The 18,267-nt window shown below is 45.4% G+C and overlaps 1 protein-coding gene across 37 annotated transcripts in view, besides 5 other annotated features; it reads right to left on the reverse strand.

Moving 5' to 3' along the window:
- Positions 1-18,267, reverse strand: part of BCL11A (BCL11 transcription factor A) — a 103,405-nt gene that overhangs the window by 27,995 nt on the left and 57,143 nt on the right. The gene's annotated exons all lie outside the window — the stretch shown is intronic.
- Positions 2,538-3,038: an enhancer, noted in NCBI's record as "H3K4me1 hESC enhancer chr2:60708187-60708687 (GRCh37/hg19 assembly coordinates)". NCBI's record gives its function as "activates a minimal SCP1, AML or CMV promoter by ChIP-STARR-seq in naive H9 embryonic stem cells {active_cell/tissue: H9 hESC(naive)}" and the evidence as "EXISTENCE:reporter gene assay evidence [ECO:0000049][PMID:30033119]".
- Positions 6,260-6,761: an enhancer, noted in NCBI's record as "H3K27ac hESC enhancer chr2:60711909-60712410 (GRCh37/hg19 assembly coordinates)". NCBI's record gives its function as "activates a minimal SCP1, AML or CMV promoter by ChIP-STARR-seq in primed H9 embryonic stem cells {active_cell/tissue: H9 hESC(primed)}" and the evidence as "EXISTENCE:reporter gene assay evidence [ECO:0000049][PMID:30033119]".
- Positions 6,762-7,261: an enhancer, noted in NCBI's record as "H3K27ac hESC enhancer chr2:60712411-60712910 (GRCh37/hg19 assembly coordinates)". NCBI's record gives its function as "activates a minimal SCP1, AML or CMV promoter by ChIP-STARR-seq in primed H9 embryonic stem cells {active_cell/tissue: H9 hESC(primed)}" and the evidence as "EXISTENCE:reporter gene assay evidence [ECO:0000049][PMID:30033119]".
- Positions 14,892-15,393: an enhancer, noted in NCBI's record as "H3K4me1 hESC enhancer chr2:60720541-60721042 (GRCh37/hg19 assembly coordinates)". NCBI's record gives its function as "activates a minimal SCP1, AML or CMV promoter by ChIP-STARR-seq in primed H9 embryonic stem cells {active_cell/tissue: H9 hESC(primed)}" and the evidence as "EXISTENCE:reporter gene assay evidence [ECO:0000049][PMID:30033119]".
- Positions 15,394-15,893: an enhancer, noted in NCBI's record as "H3K4me1 hESC enhancer chr2:60721043-60721542 (GRCh37/hg19 assembly coordinates)". NCBI's record gives its function as "activates a minimal SCP1, AML or CMV promoter by ChIP-STARR-seq in primed H9 embryonic stem cells {active_cell/tissue: H9 hESC(primed)}" and the evidence as "EXISTENCE:reporter gene assay evidence [ECO:0000049][PMID:30033119]".

Consider the following 18,267-nt stretch of genomic DNA (forward strand, 5'->3'; position numbering starts at 1 on the left):
GGCCTAATACTCTGTGACAGTCTTGGCCAAGAGATTCTGAGAACCAGAACTGGCCATTCTCCAGAATTAAAACCTATTATGTCCTATGGTTAACACAGAGCTGCTCAGAAATTATGAGAACTAATTTAAGGCTTCAAAGCTCTACCAAAAAAAATGGTCTAGCAGGTCAGGCTCTAACATTTCTTCAGGAATAAAACTAGGCTGCCCTCTCGCCTGAGGTGAGGCTGAATGAAGGAGCGCTCTGGTGCTGCGAGGCCAGGCCTCCTCCCATGACGGCAAGTCCTTCTTTCAGAAAACAGGCCTCTGCCCGGGGCATGCTGCAGCTGCTTCTCTGCAGTGCCTCAGCACCTTCCCGCCTCCCAGGCACACAGCAGCCCAGCCTCAGTCCTCATCTCTCTGGCAAAGTCCCACAGAACAAAACACAGGCCTTGGCTTTGACGTGCTTTGTTTTTTGTTTTTTTTTTTTCCCTCCTCCCTGGCTTTTTACCCAATTTCCTAATCCTTCATTTATACCACTGACCAATCTGGAAAGAGTTCCCTGAGCAAATTGGAGATGCCCGCAGATACAACCTGCCATCATTGGAGCAGCCTCAGTCCAGCCATGGGGTGTGGCACTGCCGTCTGTTCTTGGCTCTACTAATTCTGCTGATTCCATATGAGTAACATCCAATGTTCCCAGACACCTCCAAGCTCCTCCAACCAACAGCACAACATCTTCAACTCCTTTCTACCCACCTAGCAGGTCCACGTGGGGACTCAGCCTATGGACACCTGGCCTCTGCGGGCACAGCGGCCACACACCACGGTGGGACCCGGAGACCATTTTTTGTTTTGAGTCTCTCTAAGACTGCTTGGGAAATGAGGTCTCTCAGGTCTAGCATTTCCACGCAGTCCCAACCATGAGGCTGACCAGAGGCCACCAACGTCAAGCTCTCTCAGGTCTACTAGGAACAGGAAAGAATAACTCTCCCTTAACAAGCCCCTCAGGCTGAAATCCTTTTGCTTCCAGGGCCTCAACCTTCTACTGCTGGGTAGAAAGCCCCCTCTGTCACCGGCCCACAGATCTCAGCTGCCATCGCACTCAAACCCTGTCAGGCGGTGGAGAGTGTGGACGGCAGGCTGACGCGGTTTCAAAGAGGCCGACCAGGCAAGAACCGTCCTGTACTCCTGCCCCAGCTCTAATGCAATAAAATGTCTTTTATCAATGTAATTCAAGGCAAAGAGTCAAGGGTCTGTCACCATTTTAAAGAGGCTTATTACATGGCCACAAAAATTTGCCTCAGGCTCAAACCTGGCATGTAAGGTATCAGCGTGGGACAGGTTCTTTTGATTTTATTTTATTTTCTTACAAAATCTGAAAATGAAACGCTTCTGTCCCTCCCTTCCACCAACCGTTTTTTGATTTATGGGGAGGAGGAAAGAAATCTGAAGTTGACAGGTTGGGACAACTCCACTCAGCTTTCTCACTCAAAAGCTGCTTTTGTTAAATCATACTTTGCATTTATGGCCTGCGGCTCTTGGCTGACTTTGGCGGCTCCTCCGGTGTGGAGCAAGCTGTGGACTTCCCCGGGAGGAGGCCCCACTGAGATGACTGCCCCACTCTGCACCAAGGACAGCGAGGAGGGGGGAAGGTGGGGGTGGAGGAGCTGGAGGCCAGGGGGCTGGGGACATGAAGGCACTGGCTAGGTAACACAAAGGCCTGTAAAGGATATGTCTCTCTTCTGAACCTGGCTCTCCACTCCATTTCTCCTGGATCCAAGTCTCCCTGTAATCAGCATGTATCTACCACTGGTTCTCCAACTAAAAGTTCAAGGCTTCTAAGAACCAAGACTCAGTGGTCTACCTCTGACTGTCCAGCACCATGCTGGGCAAAGAAGAGCCCCTCAATAAATAATTAGGATTCAAGCGCTGTGCAGTGAACTTTTCTTCCTGTTGGAGAGCCATTCTAAATGACCTGGCTGGAAGGACCAGGCCATGGAGCCAGCAGTGACCAGGGGAAACCTTCCCTAGTAAATGATTCACTAACCAAGGAGCCTCTGGGTCAGCCTTGACCCAGGAGAGGATTACAGCCCCTTGAAAGTGGCTGCTGGTCCATCGCTTCACTGTACTATTTTGGCAATCTGTAATAGTGTATTTACTCAATGGTTGTTATGGACAATCAGGTTAATCATTCACTTTCCAAATGCTGTGTAATTACACAGTTAAAAGAGCTACAGCGGATGTCAAATTTCCTTAAGTCTTCTGGTGAATTGGTCTCAATTACTAGTCTGGGTCCCTTTCTTCCTTCCTCTCTCAATTTGTTTTAGCAATCCTCCACATTTTCCTCTATTCTCATCCCCTACCTGCACCCCCATCTCTGTCCCAAGAGAAAGAACAGTGTGAAGTACCTCCGCTTGAATAATCCTATTTTTGAACTCATAGTTCTAAATAGTTTTTGCTCCACTAAAAGGGCTTAAAAATAAGGCTAGGAAGCTAGACCTGGGAGGGGCATTACAGGCTGGCTGGAAGCCCCCAGCTGCCTCCCTGCCTCAGATGCAGGGAGAACACCTGCAGCCACCCACACCTTGTCACCCAAGTTGCACTAGATCCTGGTACAGCCCAGTGGTGGCCGCAGCTCAGGGAAGAAAGAAGGCAAAGCCCTGCTGTGCTCAAGGAGATTGAGGCTTCCCAGCCCCAAAACTGGGAAGGGCCCTGGAATGGGATATCCCCTCCCCTCCCAGCACCCCATTCCCAAACCTAGCCACCCATCTCTGCTTGGGACATGCTGGAAGGCAAGAAGAGAGAAACAAGTAACTCCTTGAAAACAAAAATGAAGCAGGGATCCTAGGAAAAGTAAAAACATTCAGAACCCAGGGCCTTCTCTCTGTCTCCCACGACCTACACCAGGCCCTTCGCACCTCTGCTTTGCGGCTTTAACGCACTACACCCCACCCACCACAAGCACATACACATGCTCTCAGGAGTCAGAGGGTCACCCAGGGCTAGAACTTAAGCCACCCAGCCCACAAGCTGGCAGGTGAAGGAGGACAGGGATCAAGGTGACAGTGCTGTCCACGCTGGCCCCTGGCTAAGAGCAACTGCAGCAGAAACAGTGTTTCTTCTCCATTTCCATGGCTCGTGAATTTTTTTGTCTTGTTTTTCTTGACGCTCCACCCCCTACATCTTTCTTTTCCCCACATGCTCCAGCACATACAACTCAGGGCTCCAGTGTTTTAAGGGCATTTTTTTTCCACAAGTGAGATTAATTTTCTAACAGAACCCTAGTACATTCTGTGTGATGGTGGGAGAGCCTTTTGACCATCACAGTGTCCTGGAATGAGCTCAGCATGCTCTCTGGGAAGTGAATTGGGAAAGTGAATGGGGAAAAGCCTCAACACACAGACAGCCCCATGGAAAATTCTCCAGCTCAGGAAACCCACCTAGGTATAGAGACCTTCTCCGGAACCTCTGGTCTGTTCTAGTCCTGCTGTCAAAAGAAAGGGGTTGGACTGATGTTTCCCAGTGGAGGGCTTGTTTGTCATTTTTGGACCTAACATCCAGTTCATCAAGGTCACTTCTGACTCCCAGGAAGAGAGGCAGACCTGTTAAGGGGCGGGTGGTTTGAGCCACTTAGGACATTTTGGACATTTTGCATCTCTCATGATTCTATCTTGAGAGTTTAGTTTGGTTGGAGTTTAGTTTTTGAGTTTTTTGTTCGGGTTGTGGTTTCTCTTCCTCCATTAAAAAAAAAAATTGGAGCTGTATTTCTGTTTCCTGTTCACGGAGCGGACAGAAGGAGGGTGTGCAGTGGAGGAGGTGTGTGGGGAGGAGGCTGATACATGGAGCAGAGCCGAGAATATCCGGAACTGGAGAAAAGTGAGAAATGGAGCTTTTTTCTTGGCTTCCAAACAGTTGTAATTTCCACTGCCACTGCTTAGTTCCTGGGCACCAGGCATACAGAGTGGGAAAGGGGCATGTGACAACTTTGCCACAAATCAGGATTTGGCATTTAAATCCACAGGAAGCAAGAAGAATAGAGGGACTGCTTATTTATAGATTTGCAGATGAATGAGATAACCAAAATGCACTTCTCGCGTATGTGAAGGAGCAATTCCATTTTCAGACTTGGAAAGTTCTCCATAATTAAGTATCACCCAACCCTGAAAGCACACTGCATCCCAAGGTTAAGATCAGCTTCCTGAAAACAGGGCAGAAGACTGCTGCTTCAGTGGTAGCTCAAAAATTCTATTTTGAAGGACAGGTTAGTACCACACTACATTTAACTGGATTCAGTTCATGTGATTATACAGTGCCTTGCTTTCTAGAATGTGTAATCATCTCTTTCTGATGACATTTTAAATATCCAACTAGACAAATAATTGCAGCAATAATTGATAGCAGAGTCAAGCTGGAAGATCATTGATTGGCAGAGTCCCCACTGAAACAAATCTTTCTTTCAAACATTACAGAAATGATGATGTTTAAGTCTAACTTTTGCTGATAAATGCTCAAAATCTGATTTACTGATAAAGGCACTGCAAGAAAACCTGCACTTCAGCCCATGATTACTTTGCGAGATGTTTGAGAAGAATCAGGCAGTGTGATTTATATTATTTCCCATGAATAACTGCAAGGATAGTGTGGGTAGTTGGAGGAGAATCAACACAGGCGAGAGAAGTGTTGCTCCTTAATGCTACACTTCCTGAACAATGCTAGCCAACAATCAGGGTTTACAGCCGTTTTCCCCTCTAATATATATCCCGTGGTAGAGAAATGGTCTTGACAAGGGGAAGACCAGGAAAAGAAGACACACAAATAATCAGCTCCATTCAGGCCTTTGAAAAGTGGTTTAAATCGATGCCTCAAATTGGGACTCAAATTCCCCTGCCCAGTGCAAAGATCCCTGGCCAAGGTCAGAAGACTTGAGACCAGGCAAGTCCCAGATGATCTCAGGCAAGTCCCCAGGTATAGCTGCAGTCCCTTTAGCCCCAGTCTGTTTCTCTGTCCAAGGCAGAACCCAAATCAACTGCTGTCTATGTCATGTGTTTTGATTGTAATATTTAAGTTAGGGCACTGTGTTCAACAACTCAGACCCTGTGGAATGCTGCAGTTGTCAGAAATAACTCAAGAGAGGATGCTCGTCCCCAGGAAACATCAAATGAATGAGCTGGCATATTAGCAGACGTGGATTACAGTAAGGAAAATCTAAAACAGAAGATGTATCTGGATGCTTCAGCAGACAACAAAGGAAGAATTTGGGGACTGGGTCTAAGCACTCGCCCAAAGCACTAGAAGGAGGATTTCTTTTTATTTTTCTTTCCTATTTTTGTTCTTCTGGTTGTTCTTTCTTTCTTCCTTTTCTCCCTTTTTTTCTTTCCTTCTTTTTCTTTCTTGGTTGCTTTTTTTTCCCCCTTTGAAACTGAACCATTATAAATGAGTTGGTCTCATAGCTTCTGTTAAAAATCAGAAGCTTGTTAGATGTAATGATTATCTGCATTGTGACACTTACCGCGTATGAGGGGTCTTGTCGAACAGCTTTACTCTAATTTAGAGCTCCTCTGTTAATTAGAAAGCCCTCAGATTTTCTGCAAATGCAGGTCACTATCGACAGCTCATGCTTTTGATGCTTCGTCTGTGACAGTTGTTGGGTTGCCCTTCTAGGAGCTGGCAGGGTTGTCCAGACTCTGACAGTGTCAGAAAATGCAGTCACCACGGCTGCTTCACAGGAAGTTACACGCAAGGTCCGCACACAGTCAGTTTCCCTGTAGCCCAGAAGCCTGATGAAATCTGCACTCACATTCAGCTGAAAATAGCTCGAATTCCAACCCTCTCTCCCCCTGCCTCCTCTCTTCCCCTTTTCCTCCTTTCTACTTCCTTGCCTCTCTTTCTCCAACCTCTGTTTCCAGCATCTTCTTTCTCATCTTCTCTCTCTTTAGTCCTCAACAACTGGGGTCCTCTGCTGTCAAAAACAGCCACATTCACCAGAAAGGGAAGTAGGTTTTACAGATAAACCGGGTTGCTTTTCACTGAAACAGCAGTGATTGTGGAACAGAAACTCTCCCCTCCCTGCCTTTTAAATAATATTTCCTATTTTTTTGCACCGGTCAGCAGCCGCACCTGGTGAGGCTGAGGTCAAGGCTGTACTTCCAACATGGCTCACGTGTTTTTTCTTAAGAGAAGGGGGAATTTGGAGGGGGGCAAAAAAAGAAGGAGAAAGAGAGGAAAGGTTAACCACTCGAGAAAAAATGCACATGGGCTGAGGTTTCCTGCCCTTATCACCATTCCAGTATAAAACCTCAAATTATGGGAATTCTCACTTAGGAACACCTCATTATGGAACATATGTGCTGGGGGTCTGGGGAGATGGGAGAAGGGGTGTGTGTTCATGACCATGTGTGTAAACTTGTGTGCTCCAAATTTTATCAAGTTCAAGCCAAAAAGAAATCCTCTGTGGCACTTGTTTAGGACTTAAAAAAAAAAAAAAAAAACCAACCAACCAAACAAAAAACAGTATTTAAATCAAAATAGGAAATACAAAAAACAATTTGTACACCCTCACCACCACCACCAAGGCATAGCCTTGGAAGAAAAAGGCATCCCTTGCAGCCACAATTTCGCAAGTTGACCTTTTCACCAGGCCAGTGCCTAATTTCCTAAACAGGCCCCTTCTTCCTTGAAGTCACTGCAAATAAATGCAGTCATCCAGAGTGTAATGGAAGTCTGGCCTTGGAGTTACTGGCTTATGAAATGCAATGGGATGAGGTGGGGTGAGAGGCCATAGCCCAGACTGAACGGCACAGTGACCAGGTAGGGTGGAGCAAGGCCACTCCAGCAAGAATGCCAAGGATAGCCTGCAGTGGGTTATTAGCCCCAGCAGGGCCCATGCCTCTACGGCCATGTTGCTGTCATCTTCGTTCTTGGCTAGCAGATGCTAGTCCCAGGAATGTCCTCCATGCCTTTAAGCTAACTGCAAAAACAGAACGGTGTGAGCCAGGGCAGACCCCATACTCTTTTATATTCTACCTATAAGGGAAAAATAAACCTAGACCTGGAAAACAATGTGTAAAGTGGCAAAAGCCAATCAACTCATTTAAAAAGAAAAACCCTCCATCCAACGTCACGAAGCTGCTGAATATTAGGTTCCTGGGAAGCTGTCCCAGCAACCTAGATATGAGAAACAACGCTTGCTATTCTGGGGTGAGAAGTGAAGTTGCCTTTCACTCGGGACTGTCAAACACAGTCTATAAATACCAGCAATGCCCCTTGTGAACTACGGGCTGAGCTCAACCCAGAGAAGGCAAGTGTTTCCCAAAGGTCACACAGCAATTCCAGGTCCCCCAGAAGTAGCCCTTCACCAGATGGATCCCATCACCAGATAGCTCTTGGAAATAATACATTGCTGCATCTGATTCTCATTTTCAACAAGAAGGCTGAGGAATGAGATTGCACATTTTAGTTTCCTTCCCCAACTTTCTTTCTCCAACCTTCTGCTCTGGTTCTCCTCTCCCCCACCACACGTACAAAAAAAATCTTTTTAGTATGTTTAGGGATCTATTTCCATATCTACCCAAAATCTCCAAGCCCCTTGTTCTATCAGCAGGTCAAGAGTAGAGAACTGTGACAAGCTGTTCTCCATTCTGAAATGGATTTGACTGAACAGCTGCTGAAAGGCAAGACATCCTAGGGAGACTGGTACTGGGGATTTCAGGGTCCTTGTTCTGTGGGTGGACCATGGCTCCTTTCCAGAGAATGACTTGTGATTTGTTCTCTCTCCTACACATCAAAGTGAGACACCAATCACAGCTCTACTGGCCCACCTTGCCCCACCTCCAATTTGGCAACTTTGCCTCCTTCTCACACAATGAGAAAGAACGGATAGCCAAATTCTAAGAGTTCACTTTCTGCACATATGTGTAGTTAAGTACTGAAGTGAGAAATTCAAGAAAACTATACTTAGGCACACACACACACATTTTGAGAGATAATTTCTAAAGACCTACCAATCTAAGATACTGAAAGAAAATGGCTACATCAGGCCCAGAAAAGCCTTGAAATTTTCCCTATCCACAGACCACAGCCCTGTGATGGACATGAGATCCTCTGGCTTTGAGATGAATAATGCACAGAAATGAGCAGCATGATGGATTAGCTGGCAGATTATTACCAGACATGTGAACATGCCAACTCAACATCAGGATTGGGCCTGAAACTTCTCTCAGGAAGGCCTTGATAGCATTAGATGGTTGACAGAGGTATTACAGTGTGACAGAGTCTGAGCCCACAGTCTGAGAATGACCACATCCCTTCCCAGGGAGACGTTCCCACTCAACACCCTGGGAAGACTACTGCGAATCACTCTGTCTCTCAAACCTGGCCATGGCTCAGCCCACGCCCTTTCATGTATTTGCCCTTTTCCCTGCTAACAGAAATGGAATCAGAACAAATTAATATTTAATTTTAAGATTACTATTCTATCAGAATAAAAAAGACTCGGGAGATTCAAAGCGAAGGCAAATGCCCCTCCTTTAAGTCTAACGTTGCTATTCAGGCATTTAGGAGCGCTAGACACAGTGAGTTTCCCTGCCTCCAACCTGTGATTTGCCACAAGGCAGGAAGGGGAAGGATAGTGCAACACCCCTAAGTGTGTGAAGTTCTAACCTTTTACCCATGTAATGATCTAGTTAATGTAATATTTTGCCTTTAATCAATGAAAGAGTAAGATAATTTGATATCCTATAAAACTCCCTAACCTATATTTTGCAAGTCGATTAGCTAAGCTCTTCATGCTAATGTCAGCAGAGCCCATGTTACATCTCCAGTCAGGCTTTCAGGTGTCTGCACCCCACAATGCCACACACCGAGAGTGGAAAAAGAAAATTCAGCAGGGGGAGCAGTGTAGTGGGCAGTTACGTTTTCGTCATCTGTATGGAAATTGGGAAATCGTCTTCTCAAATGTAGATTATCTTCCCTTGGGATCCTTCTGGAGGGCTATAAATAATAGAACATACTAATCAACATTAGATATTTAAAAATGAATACAGATTCAGATTAAGGGAAAACTAAATGATGCCTTTATAAAATCCAGAACAAAACAAAACAAAAAAAGGCATGAAAAAGAAGGCTTAGCGGATCCCCCTTAAGTTAGCCCTATTCTCTGGCAACCACACCAGCCTTTAACGAGGGTGTTCAAAGTAACCATTTCCCACTCCCTTATTTATGAGCAGCAGAATGTAAAAAGCAAGAGGCTTAATTTTAATGCGGTAATTTTCTCATCAACCATTCTATCTAAGGAAGCTGCAGAAAGGTGAAAACTGGAAATTTATGAACCTTTAATGGGAAATCTGGATAAGAATTTGGTCTAAATATATGAAGAGGAACATGGACAGCTGGCACAAACACAAAATGCAAGTACTCCAACTCCAGCTCCCTGATAACATCTGCCACTAAAGGTTTACTGACTTGGTTTTCCCAACTCTAGAATGGAGCCCTCATCTAAACCTGGGGAAGCAATATATGAACAATTAGATATTAAATGCTTATAGATCCCTCTCTGTGCTATTACTTTTGACCTGGGTTTTAAAAACACAGTAACACTTACAATTTATTCTCATTATGTAGAAACATTTAAATTATCCTGGAAGAGTTTGTCTCACGGGCTGTTCAAAGAGTGTTTCTTCCTTTCCTTCTAGGAACATGAGGAGTGAATCTGACTATTTCATCAAAGCCTGTAAAAGATACCTGAGTCATGATTTTAACTGAACAATGTCTCCAAGAATTCAGACTGTGAGAGGGGGAAGAAGACCGTCTCTTTGGTGCAGTGGGAATTGCCATTGTGTCCTCCCTGGTTCCTCTCCTCTGTCCTTGGCAATCCAGTTACAATTTGACAGCATTTAAAGATGACAGTACTTGAGATAATAGGACAATGCCATAACAGGATTACAGCAAATGTGAAAGAAAGGACACACGTAGGTACTGTCATTTAGGTAATGTCATCTATGATCAGTTTTTGTTTCATTTTTTGCTGACACAGAACTCAGTGCTACTTATACAATTCACTGGAAACCCTGTTATGGCTGTAAATAGTTTGCTTCCCCCAATGAAAGAAAATACTTACTGTACTGCAGGGGAATTCGGTAAAACTTTCTAGTTTTGCTTAACATGAAAATAATAACAAAAAATTTCAAATCAGTATCAATAGCCAAAGATCCAAAAACAGCCTAAAGCCACTGCTACCCAAAACGATTTTGTTTGTTTGTTTGTTTGTTTGTTTGTTTTTTGTTTCTGAGGTGGAGTTTCGCTCTTGTTGCCCGGGCTGGAGTGCAATGGCGCAATCTCGGCTCACCGCAATCTCCGCCTCCCGGGTTCAAGCGATTCTCCTGCCTCAGCCTCCCAAGTAGCTGGGATTATAGGCATGCGCCACCACACGCGGCTAATTTCTGTATTTTTGGTAGAGACGGGGTTTCTCCATGTTGGTCAGGCTGGTCTCAAACTCCCGACCTTAGGTGATCCACCCACCTCAGCCTCCCAAAGTGCTGGGATTATAGGCATAAGCTACCACACCCAGCCATACCCAAAACAAATTTATCTTCAAAGAAAAAAAATGCTGTGTGTCCTAAATAATAGGTGGTCAAAATGTTTCTAAAGGGTACCTTAGACCCCAATTAAACTGTTGCTTTAGAGTTTGGGGAAAATAAAGTGGAAACACCTAACTAAATTCACACTGTGAGAGCCAGTCAACACTAGCCCACATGCCAATGGGGTCCTTGTCAGTCACTTACACTATTTCTCATTCCATTTCTTTTATGTCATTTTGCCCACAACATATCCAAATTCATACAATAGAGGCATTTGGAACCCAGTGCTACTCTGCTTCCTAACTAATTTCTGCCGCTGGAAGTTTGTTCCTAAAGCCACCAAGTCTCCTAGAAGCCCTTATTTCTTGGCAGTAAACACACGGCGGCCCTGCGTGCCATTAAAATAGCTGCCTCATCATCCAGGATGACAAACAGCCACACTGTGTGCCAAGTGACCAGCCACAAACAAAAGCTTGTTTGACCAGCACCTATCTCAAAAGAAAATTCTGAGTAGAAGAGGAAGCACCTGAAGGAAGCTGAAAAGAAAGTCTGACATTTGAAATTCTAACAGAGGTTCTTTCCCCTCTAGGACACTCTGGGTCACTAGCATCTCTGCTTTCCTTGTTCCCTGGCTCATCTCCTGAGCCCCCGGGCCGTTCTCCTTTCCAACTGTCTATTTACTAACCACTTTTATCAGCCCCCCTCTCACCCCATCCAAAAATGTTTACTCAAGTTCAGGCTAGCTTAATAACCCCCAAAGCAGGAGGACACTATTAAAGAGAGATCACAGGGATATGAATTTTGATGCCTGCCTTATTTTGTCACATATCATCAAAATGATAAATGCTATCATGAAACACCATCCATGCCCTGAGTATCCCAACATGGATGGACTGGAGGAGAGGGACAAGGGACCAATACAGACCCTGATGGGCCCTTGATTCTGAACGTCATTCCTGCCCACTCCCCATCTGCAATGGGGGCAAAGGCAAAAGGAAAGCTTTCCAAGATTTAAACAGTCCTCTATATTAGTAACAGACCCATGTGCTAGGCTCCTACAATATCTGGTTCCATTCTGCTAGTGAAAGGAAACCCTACGGTCAACCAACTCCATCCTCTAGAACATATAAGTCAACAGGGGAGAACTCGGCATGAAGGGTATAACAGAGAATTTCAACAACTCATCCACCCCCTTTGCAGAGTCCTCACTTAACATCCCCTAGCATGCTGCCTTTGTCTTCTGATCAGAGTATTTCAGCAGCCCTCTGTGATCTATAGGATATGGTCCAACTCCTTAAGCCATCATTCCAGAGCTCCACAATCCAACTCCAATTTTCTATTCCAGTCTTAGTTCCCCGTACCCATCAAGGAAAATATTCTGCCCAAGTAAAAATCCCTTCCGTTCTCATTTCCTTCCTGGCTTTTCTTCTTCTTCTCTTACCTCCTGGAATCCTGCTCATACTTCAAGGCCTCAATGAAGGTCTACCTAGTCACCTTAGCAAGAAGAATCAATCTCATCCTTCTCCAACCTCATAGAACACTCATCCCATGCACCACTCCCTGACTCATATCTAGGCCTTACATTGCTGGTTAACCCTCTATGCCTCTAATTAATTTCATGTGTTCCCAATGAGTTTCTTCAATACAGGGACTCTTTCTCCTACTTGCTTCTATTATATTTGAAAGTACCAGCACAGCATGTGACATGATATTCATATATTCTAGGAATTCAACAAATAGCATATAAATGACTGATTTACCTTCCTAAAAGGGAAGTTATTTTTCCAAATATCATTTCTGTTCAAAATGGTAATTTTAACCTTCTTAGCACCCACAAACATTTCCCTTCTGATATCTACTTGAACTTTCAGATAAAAAAAAAAAAGCAAGTTGCAGTAACATGTTATGCTACACAAAGATTAGCATGAATATCCACCCTCTTTAAACAGCCACCCCACACCCTGGAGAAGAGCAAATGTGAAGTTTATGTGCCAACCAGACTGTGCGCCAGGTTGGTAAAGTCTGACAGAGTTACCAAAAAATGACAACATCTTCTATATGTGAAGCCCAACTACGTGGTTGTGCAACTCTATAGCTGACTTTCAACCATGGTCATCTGCAAAGAAGTTAGTCTCAGCCACCTGCGCATCCTCAATGCAAAAAGCTAAGTTCTAAAAACGTATTCTTAATGCTGTTTTAAATGCAGCACTACTAAAAAGGACCTCATTTTGATGCCAGAGGGCAGCAAACATGGACACTTTTGGCCCCCTTCAGCTATTAAGTACAGTAAAAGGAAGTCCTAACTATCATTTGAAATGCTCCCGGCCAGGCGCTGTGGCTCACACCTGTAATCCCAGCACTTTGGGAGGCCGGGGCAGGAGGATCACCTGAGGTCAGGAGTTCAAGATCAGTTTGGACAACACAGTGAAACCCCGTCTCTACTAAAAATACAAAATTAGCCGGGCATGGTAATACATGCCTGTAATCTCAGCTACTCGGGAGGCTGAGGCAGGAGATCGCTTGAACCTGGGAGGCAGAAGATGCAGTGAGCCGAGATCGCGCCATTGCATTCCAGCCCGGGCAACAAGAGTAAATCTCCGTCTCACCAAAAAAAGAAAAAAGAAAAAAAAAAAAAAGAAAGAAATGCTCCCCTCAGTTCTCCAGGCTGGGCTGACTGCCCACGTCAAAACACCCTAGGCATCATCACTCCGTGTTGAGAGCCAAGTGGCCAGGTAGGACCCAACACTACGCAGGCACAGACGTTTTCCATGTTAAGAACCCAAATCCATACAGTCCTTAGCACCCAAATAGGTTCAGAAAAGGCAGTCCACACAAATCTGCCAAATAAATGAAGTTCAGATATTGCATTTACGCTAAATACCTTGGAAATTGAGAGGGAATCTGGAGAGGAAGATGGATGTAGGAAAAACAAAAACCCTCACTTTACAGGAATTCAGCACAGGAGATGCTACATTGTTAGCATCTCCGCTTAAGGAGAAGACATACTGATGAATAAGACTGAGTTGGTGACAGGCACAGTGGCTCTCGCCTGTAATCCCAGCACTTTGGGAGGTCAAGGCAGGAGGATCACTGGAGCCCAGGAGTTCAAGACCAGCCTGGGCAACAGGGAGAAACTCCATCTCTACAAAATTAGCCAGGCATGGTGGCATGCACCTGTCGTCCCAGCTACTCAGGAGGCTGAGGTGACAGGATGGCTTGAGCCTAGGAGATCAAGGCTGCAGTGAGCTATGAACATGCCACTACACTCTAGCCTAGGCAACACAGCGAGACCCTGTCTCAAAAACAAACAAACAAACAAACAAAAGACAACTAATTGGGCTAATGTTTAGAATAAATGTATTTCTAGGGAAGAAAAAAACTTAGTTGGGTACTCCCTCCCCTTTTTACTTTTTGAAGCCTGCTGGAATTCTAGGAAAACAGATTTCCTCCCCTTGCTCTCTCCTTCCTCACATACTCACCAGTACTCATGCGCTTCTCAGACCCAAATGCTCTGCTTATGGTGGATAACCCCATCTCAGTGGGCCTCCCTCTCTCTCTCTCTCTCTCTCTCTCTCTGTCATTACCAACTTCTATAAAATCTCAGAATACAAAGGGCATTCTCATTTCCCTGAAATGTACTTTGGTGCTACCCTGAAAGACGGCTAGAGTCTTGAGGAGACCCAAACAGTTAAAGGTTACAGACAGACTTGGTTCCACTCCAGTGGTGGGTGTTTTGTTTTGTTTCGCTTTAGCTTTATTAAGGTATACTTTACATACAACAAAAGTCATTCATTTTAAGTGTACAGTTGGATTCAATTTGCCAGTTGTATACAGCTGTGTGGCCTCCACCAAAATCAAGATACAGAACACGTCCACCAGTCTAGAAAGCCCCCTCATGCCCCTTTGCTGTCAATCCCCTTCCCTAACCCTCTGACCCCTTCCTTCTAACCACTGAACCCCCACCTACCACCACAGTGTTGAGAATTCTAGAATTTGTTACAAATGGACTCATACAGGATATCGTCTTTTGTGTTTAATTTCTTCCACAGAGCAGAATGATTCTGGGATTCATCCATGGTGTGGAGTGTGTTACTCTTTCATTCTTCTACTGTTGAGTTGTATTCCACCATAGGGCGTTTATCCATTCAACCTATTGGTTGCCATGTGGGTTGTGACCACTTTTTGACCACTATGAACAGTGCTACAATGGACACTGTGTAGATGTGTTTATAGGAATGTATGTCTACATTTCTCTTAGGTAAACATCTAAGGCATTTCGAGAACACAGAAAAGGTTTTGAGTTTGAGTCCAGGGAGCCCTCATTTTGTCATCCTCCAGGCTGCCCCCCTCCCACCCCATTCCCTGGAGAGTTCAACTCCAAACCCTATATCCCAGCTATCTGTTTGGCTCAGCTACCAAATGTCATCCTATTCCGAATAGAAACCTCTCCACTACACTAAGGAAATGATGGGAAGAGACCCCAAAACATTCTTAAAATGGGCATTCATTTGAATCAGGCCAAATAAATTGGACTCTGGGTCAGAGATAACTTAAGTGTGGTGTTCGGAGTCCTAAGAGCCCCCACTAGCTCAGAAATGGACTTAGTTGACCTCCCCCATTAGCAGCATGGAGAGTCAAGGAGATGACTTCTACCTTGCCAAAGGCCTTGGGAAGAAAGACAGCATCAAGGTCTCACACAACACTCCAGGGAGGCAGCTGCTGCCCAGTGCTGTGGACAGCAAAGCTTCAGTGCAGGAAATTAAGATTCCCCCTGCCTCCCCCTCCCCCATCCTCATCAGCTTGGCCATGGCAGGGCTGGGGGATCAGAGGTGAACAGGAAGCAGAAGGACCCCTGGGGGAGACAGGGCCTCCAGTGGGACCAGAGCTGAGTGGCCTCAGGCAGTGGCGGAAGCTGATTAAAGGAAGGTACGGGGAGTGGAGGGGAAGTGGACAAAAGACAGGACAGCCATCTTAGACAACAATGCAAGGGGGAGAAACTGAAGAAAACAGAACAGAGACCACTACTGGCAATAAACAGAGAGAAAGTGAAGCCCCATGGGTGAGGCACACCTACATTACTTAAGAAACCTGAGCACATTCTTACGCCTAGGGCAATAAATACATCCTTGAGCTACACAGGCTAAGCAAGAGTGAGAGAGGGTGATGCTGACAGGCCACATGGGAGAGTGGGAAGACGTGGGCTGGGAGCTGGGAGTTTGGCTTCTCATCTGTGCATGGCCTCTAAACTGGGCAGTGACCATGGCCTGGTCACCTCCCCACTCTGGACCTGGGTTGCCCCTCTGTAAACAAGGAGGTTGTAATAAATTATCTCCAATACCCTAATGTCTTATAAATCTTATGCAATTTTTGCCAAGATGGGAGTATGGGGAGAGAAGAGTGGAAACGGCCCAGAGCTCAGTGAGATGAGATATCAAAGGGGACGAAAAGTGTTCATTCCATCTCCCTAATCTCCAATTGGCAAAGCCAGACTTGGGGCAATACAGACTGGTTCTGTGATGACAAATAACTCCTAGCTCATTCCTAATGATTTATCACCAAATGTTCTTTCTTCAGCTGGAATTTAAAATATGGACTCATCCGTAAAATAGGAATAATAATAGTATATGCTTCATAGGGTTTGTATGAAAATAAAATGAGTGCGTATTTGTAAAGTTCCTAGAGCAGAGTAAGTGCTCCGAGCTTGTGAACTAAAATGCTGCCTCCTGGTATTTATTAGTTACACCTCAGCAGAAACAAAGTTATCAGGCCCTTTCCCCAATTCCTAGTTTGGGTCAGAAGAAAAGGGAAAAGGGAGAGGAAAAAGGAAAAGAATATGACGTCAGGGGGAGGCAAGTCAGTTGGGAACACAGATCCTAACACAGTAGCTGGTACCTGATAGGTGCCTATATGTGATGGATGGGTGGACAGCCCGACAGATGAAAAATGGACAATTATGAGGAGGGGAGAGTGCAGACAGGGGAAGCTTCACCTCCTTTACAATTTTGGGAGTCCACACGGCATGGCATACAAATTATTTCATTCCCATTGAGAAATAAAATCCAATTCTCCATCACCAAGAGAGCCTTCCGAAAGAGGCCCCCCTGGGCAAACGGCCACCGATGGAGAGGTCTGCCAGTCCTCTTCTACCCCACCCACGCCCCCACCCTAATCAGAGGCCAAACCCTTCCTGGAGCCTGTGATAAAAGCAACTGTTAGCTTGCACTAGACTAGCTTCAAAGTTGTATTGACCCTGGTGTGTTATGTCTAAGAGTAGATGCCATATCTCTTTTCTGGCCTATGTTATTACCTGTATGGACTTTGCACTGGAATCAGCTATCTGCTCTTACTTATGCACACCTGGGGCATAGAGCCAGCCCTGTATCGCTTTTCAGCCATCTCACTACAGATAACTCCCAAGTCCTGTCTAGCTGCCTTCCTTATCACAGGAATAGCACCCAAGGTCCATCAGTACCTCAGAGTAGAACCCCCTATAAACTAGTCTGGTTTGCCCATGGGGCACAGTCAGGCTGTTTTCCAGGGTGGGGTGCAGACATTCTCTGCCTGTTGTGATGCTTACATATAACGTCATAACAGACACACGTATGTGTTGTGATCCCTGTGGTTTGAGAGTTTGGAGCTTCCCTAAAAGTCAAAATATTCTCAATGGGCCCTCAATCAGCACATACACACAAAAGGTACCTGGAAAACTGTAATTCTTTTCCTGCTCAAAGACAGGCAATTCAATACCCCTTCCCCCAACCAAAAACCCTTGCCACCATGGGAGCCTGGGGCAGAGAAGGCACAGTGAAGTCAAACTGTAATTCCAGGCTCTAAATGGTGCTGTCATTTTTCTGAGAGTCTCTAAATTACAAGGGTGTTTTCACTATTCTTAGCTATTTTTTAAAACACCTAAGAAACATACTGCAGCTCTGGAAAAGAGAACAAACAAACCAAAGAGAAGGGATCCAGAGGTCACCCTCATATGTGAAAAGTCAATTGATAATGAAGGCTTTAGGATAACCGGAGGGGAGATGATTGAAAGCAATGCACCTGTGCAGGAAATGGATTACGGAAACAGGGAATTGTTCATGAAATCCCAGAAAACCAGAACCGGGAAAGTTCTGGAAGTCGGAAAAACAAATCATGACTTAAGCAATGGAAGTCCAATACACGTTTACAGAATGCCTTGTCCCACGAGGCAACACAGGCTACCACAGATGGGGGACAGGGTGGGAGTGGACCATCCCAGTGGTGTTACTGAGGGGCAAAGGGATAGCCCTATGAGGCAAGTGTCCAGGGCAGAACTGGAGCTTTGTGAAACCATTTCCCAGGCAGAGACAGAGCACTAGGCTGGTGCTGCCAGTCTGACAATAAGTCTGCCATTGTCCTCTGGTCAGCTCTGGACACACAGCAAAAGTGAGTTCAGAGTAGCCTGAAGCAGGAAAGAGGGAAGAGAGGAGGATAACACCTATCTTCCACTTTGCTGCAGGTTCAAGGCAAGGATTTGAGACAGTTACCCCTTCTGGAAGAGCCTGGTGAGTACATCTCTCCTGCCTTGTACAACCCTCTCTCCTCACCGACTTTCTCTCCCAGCAGCCAGCAGGGGCCTGGGCCATTTATGGAATGCAAGCCCTGACCACACAGACTTACTTACATGCCAGGACAGCCACCAGGTAGCCTTTCCCACTCTAGGTTCCACTGTGAGTGCTCTCTC

The sequence above is a fragment of the Homo sapiens genome, chromosome 2 (genome assembly GCF_000001405.40).
Source record: "Homo sapiens chromosome 2, GRCh38.p14 Primary Assembly".
Taxonomy (NCBI): domain Eukaryota; kingdom Metazoa; phylum Chordata; class Mammalia; order Primates; family Hominidae; genus Homo; species Homo sapiens.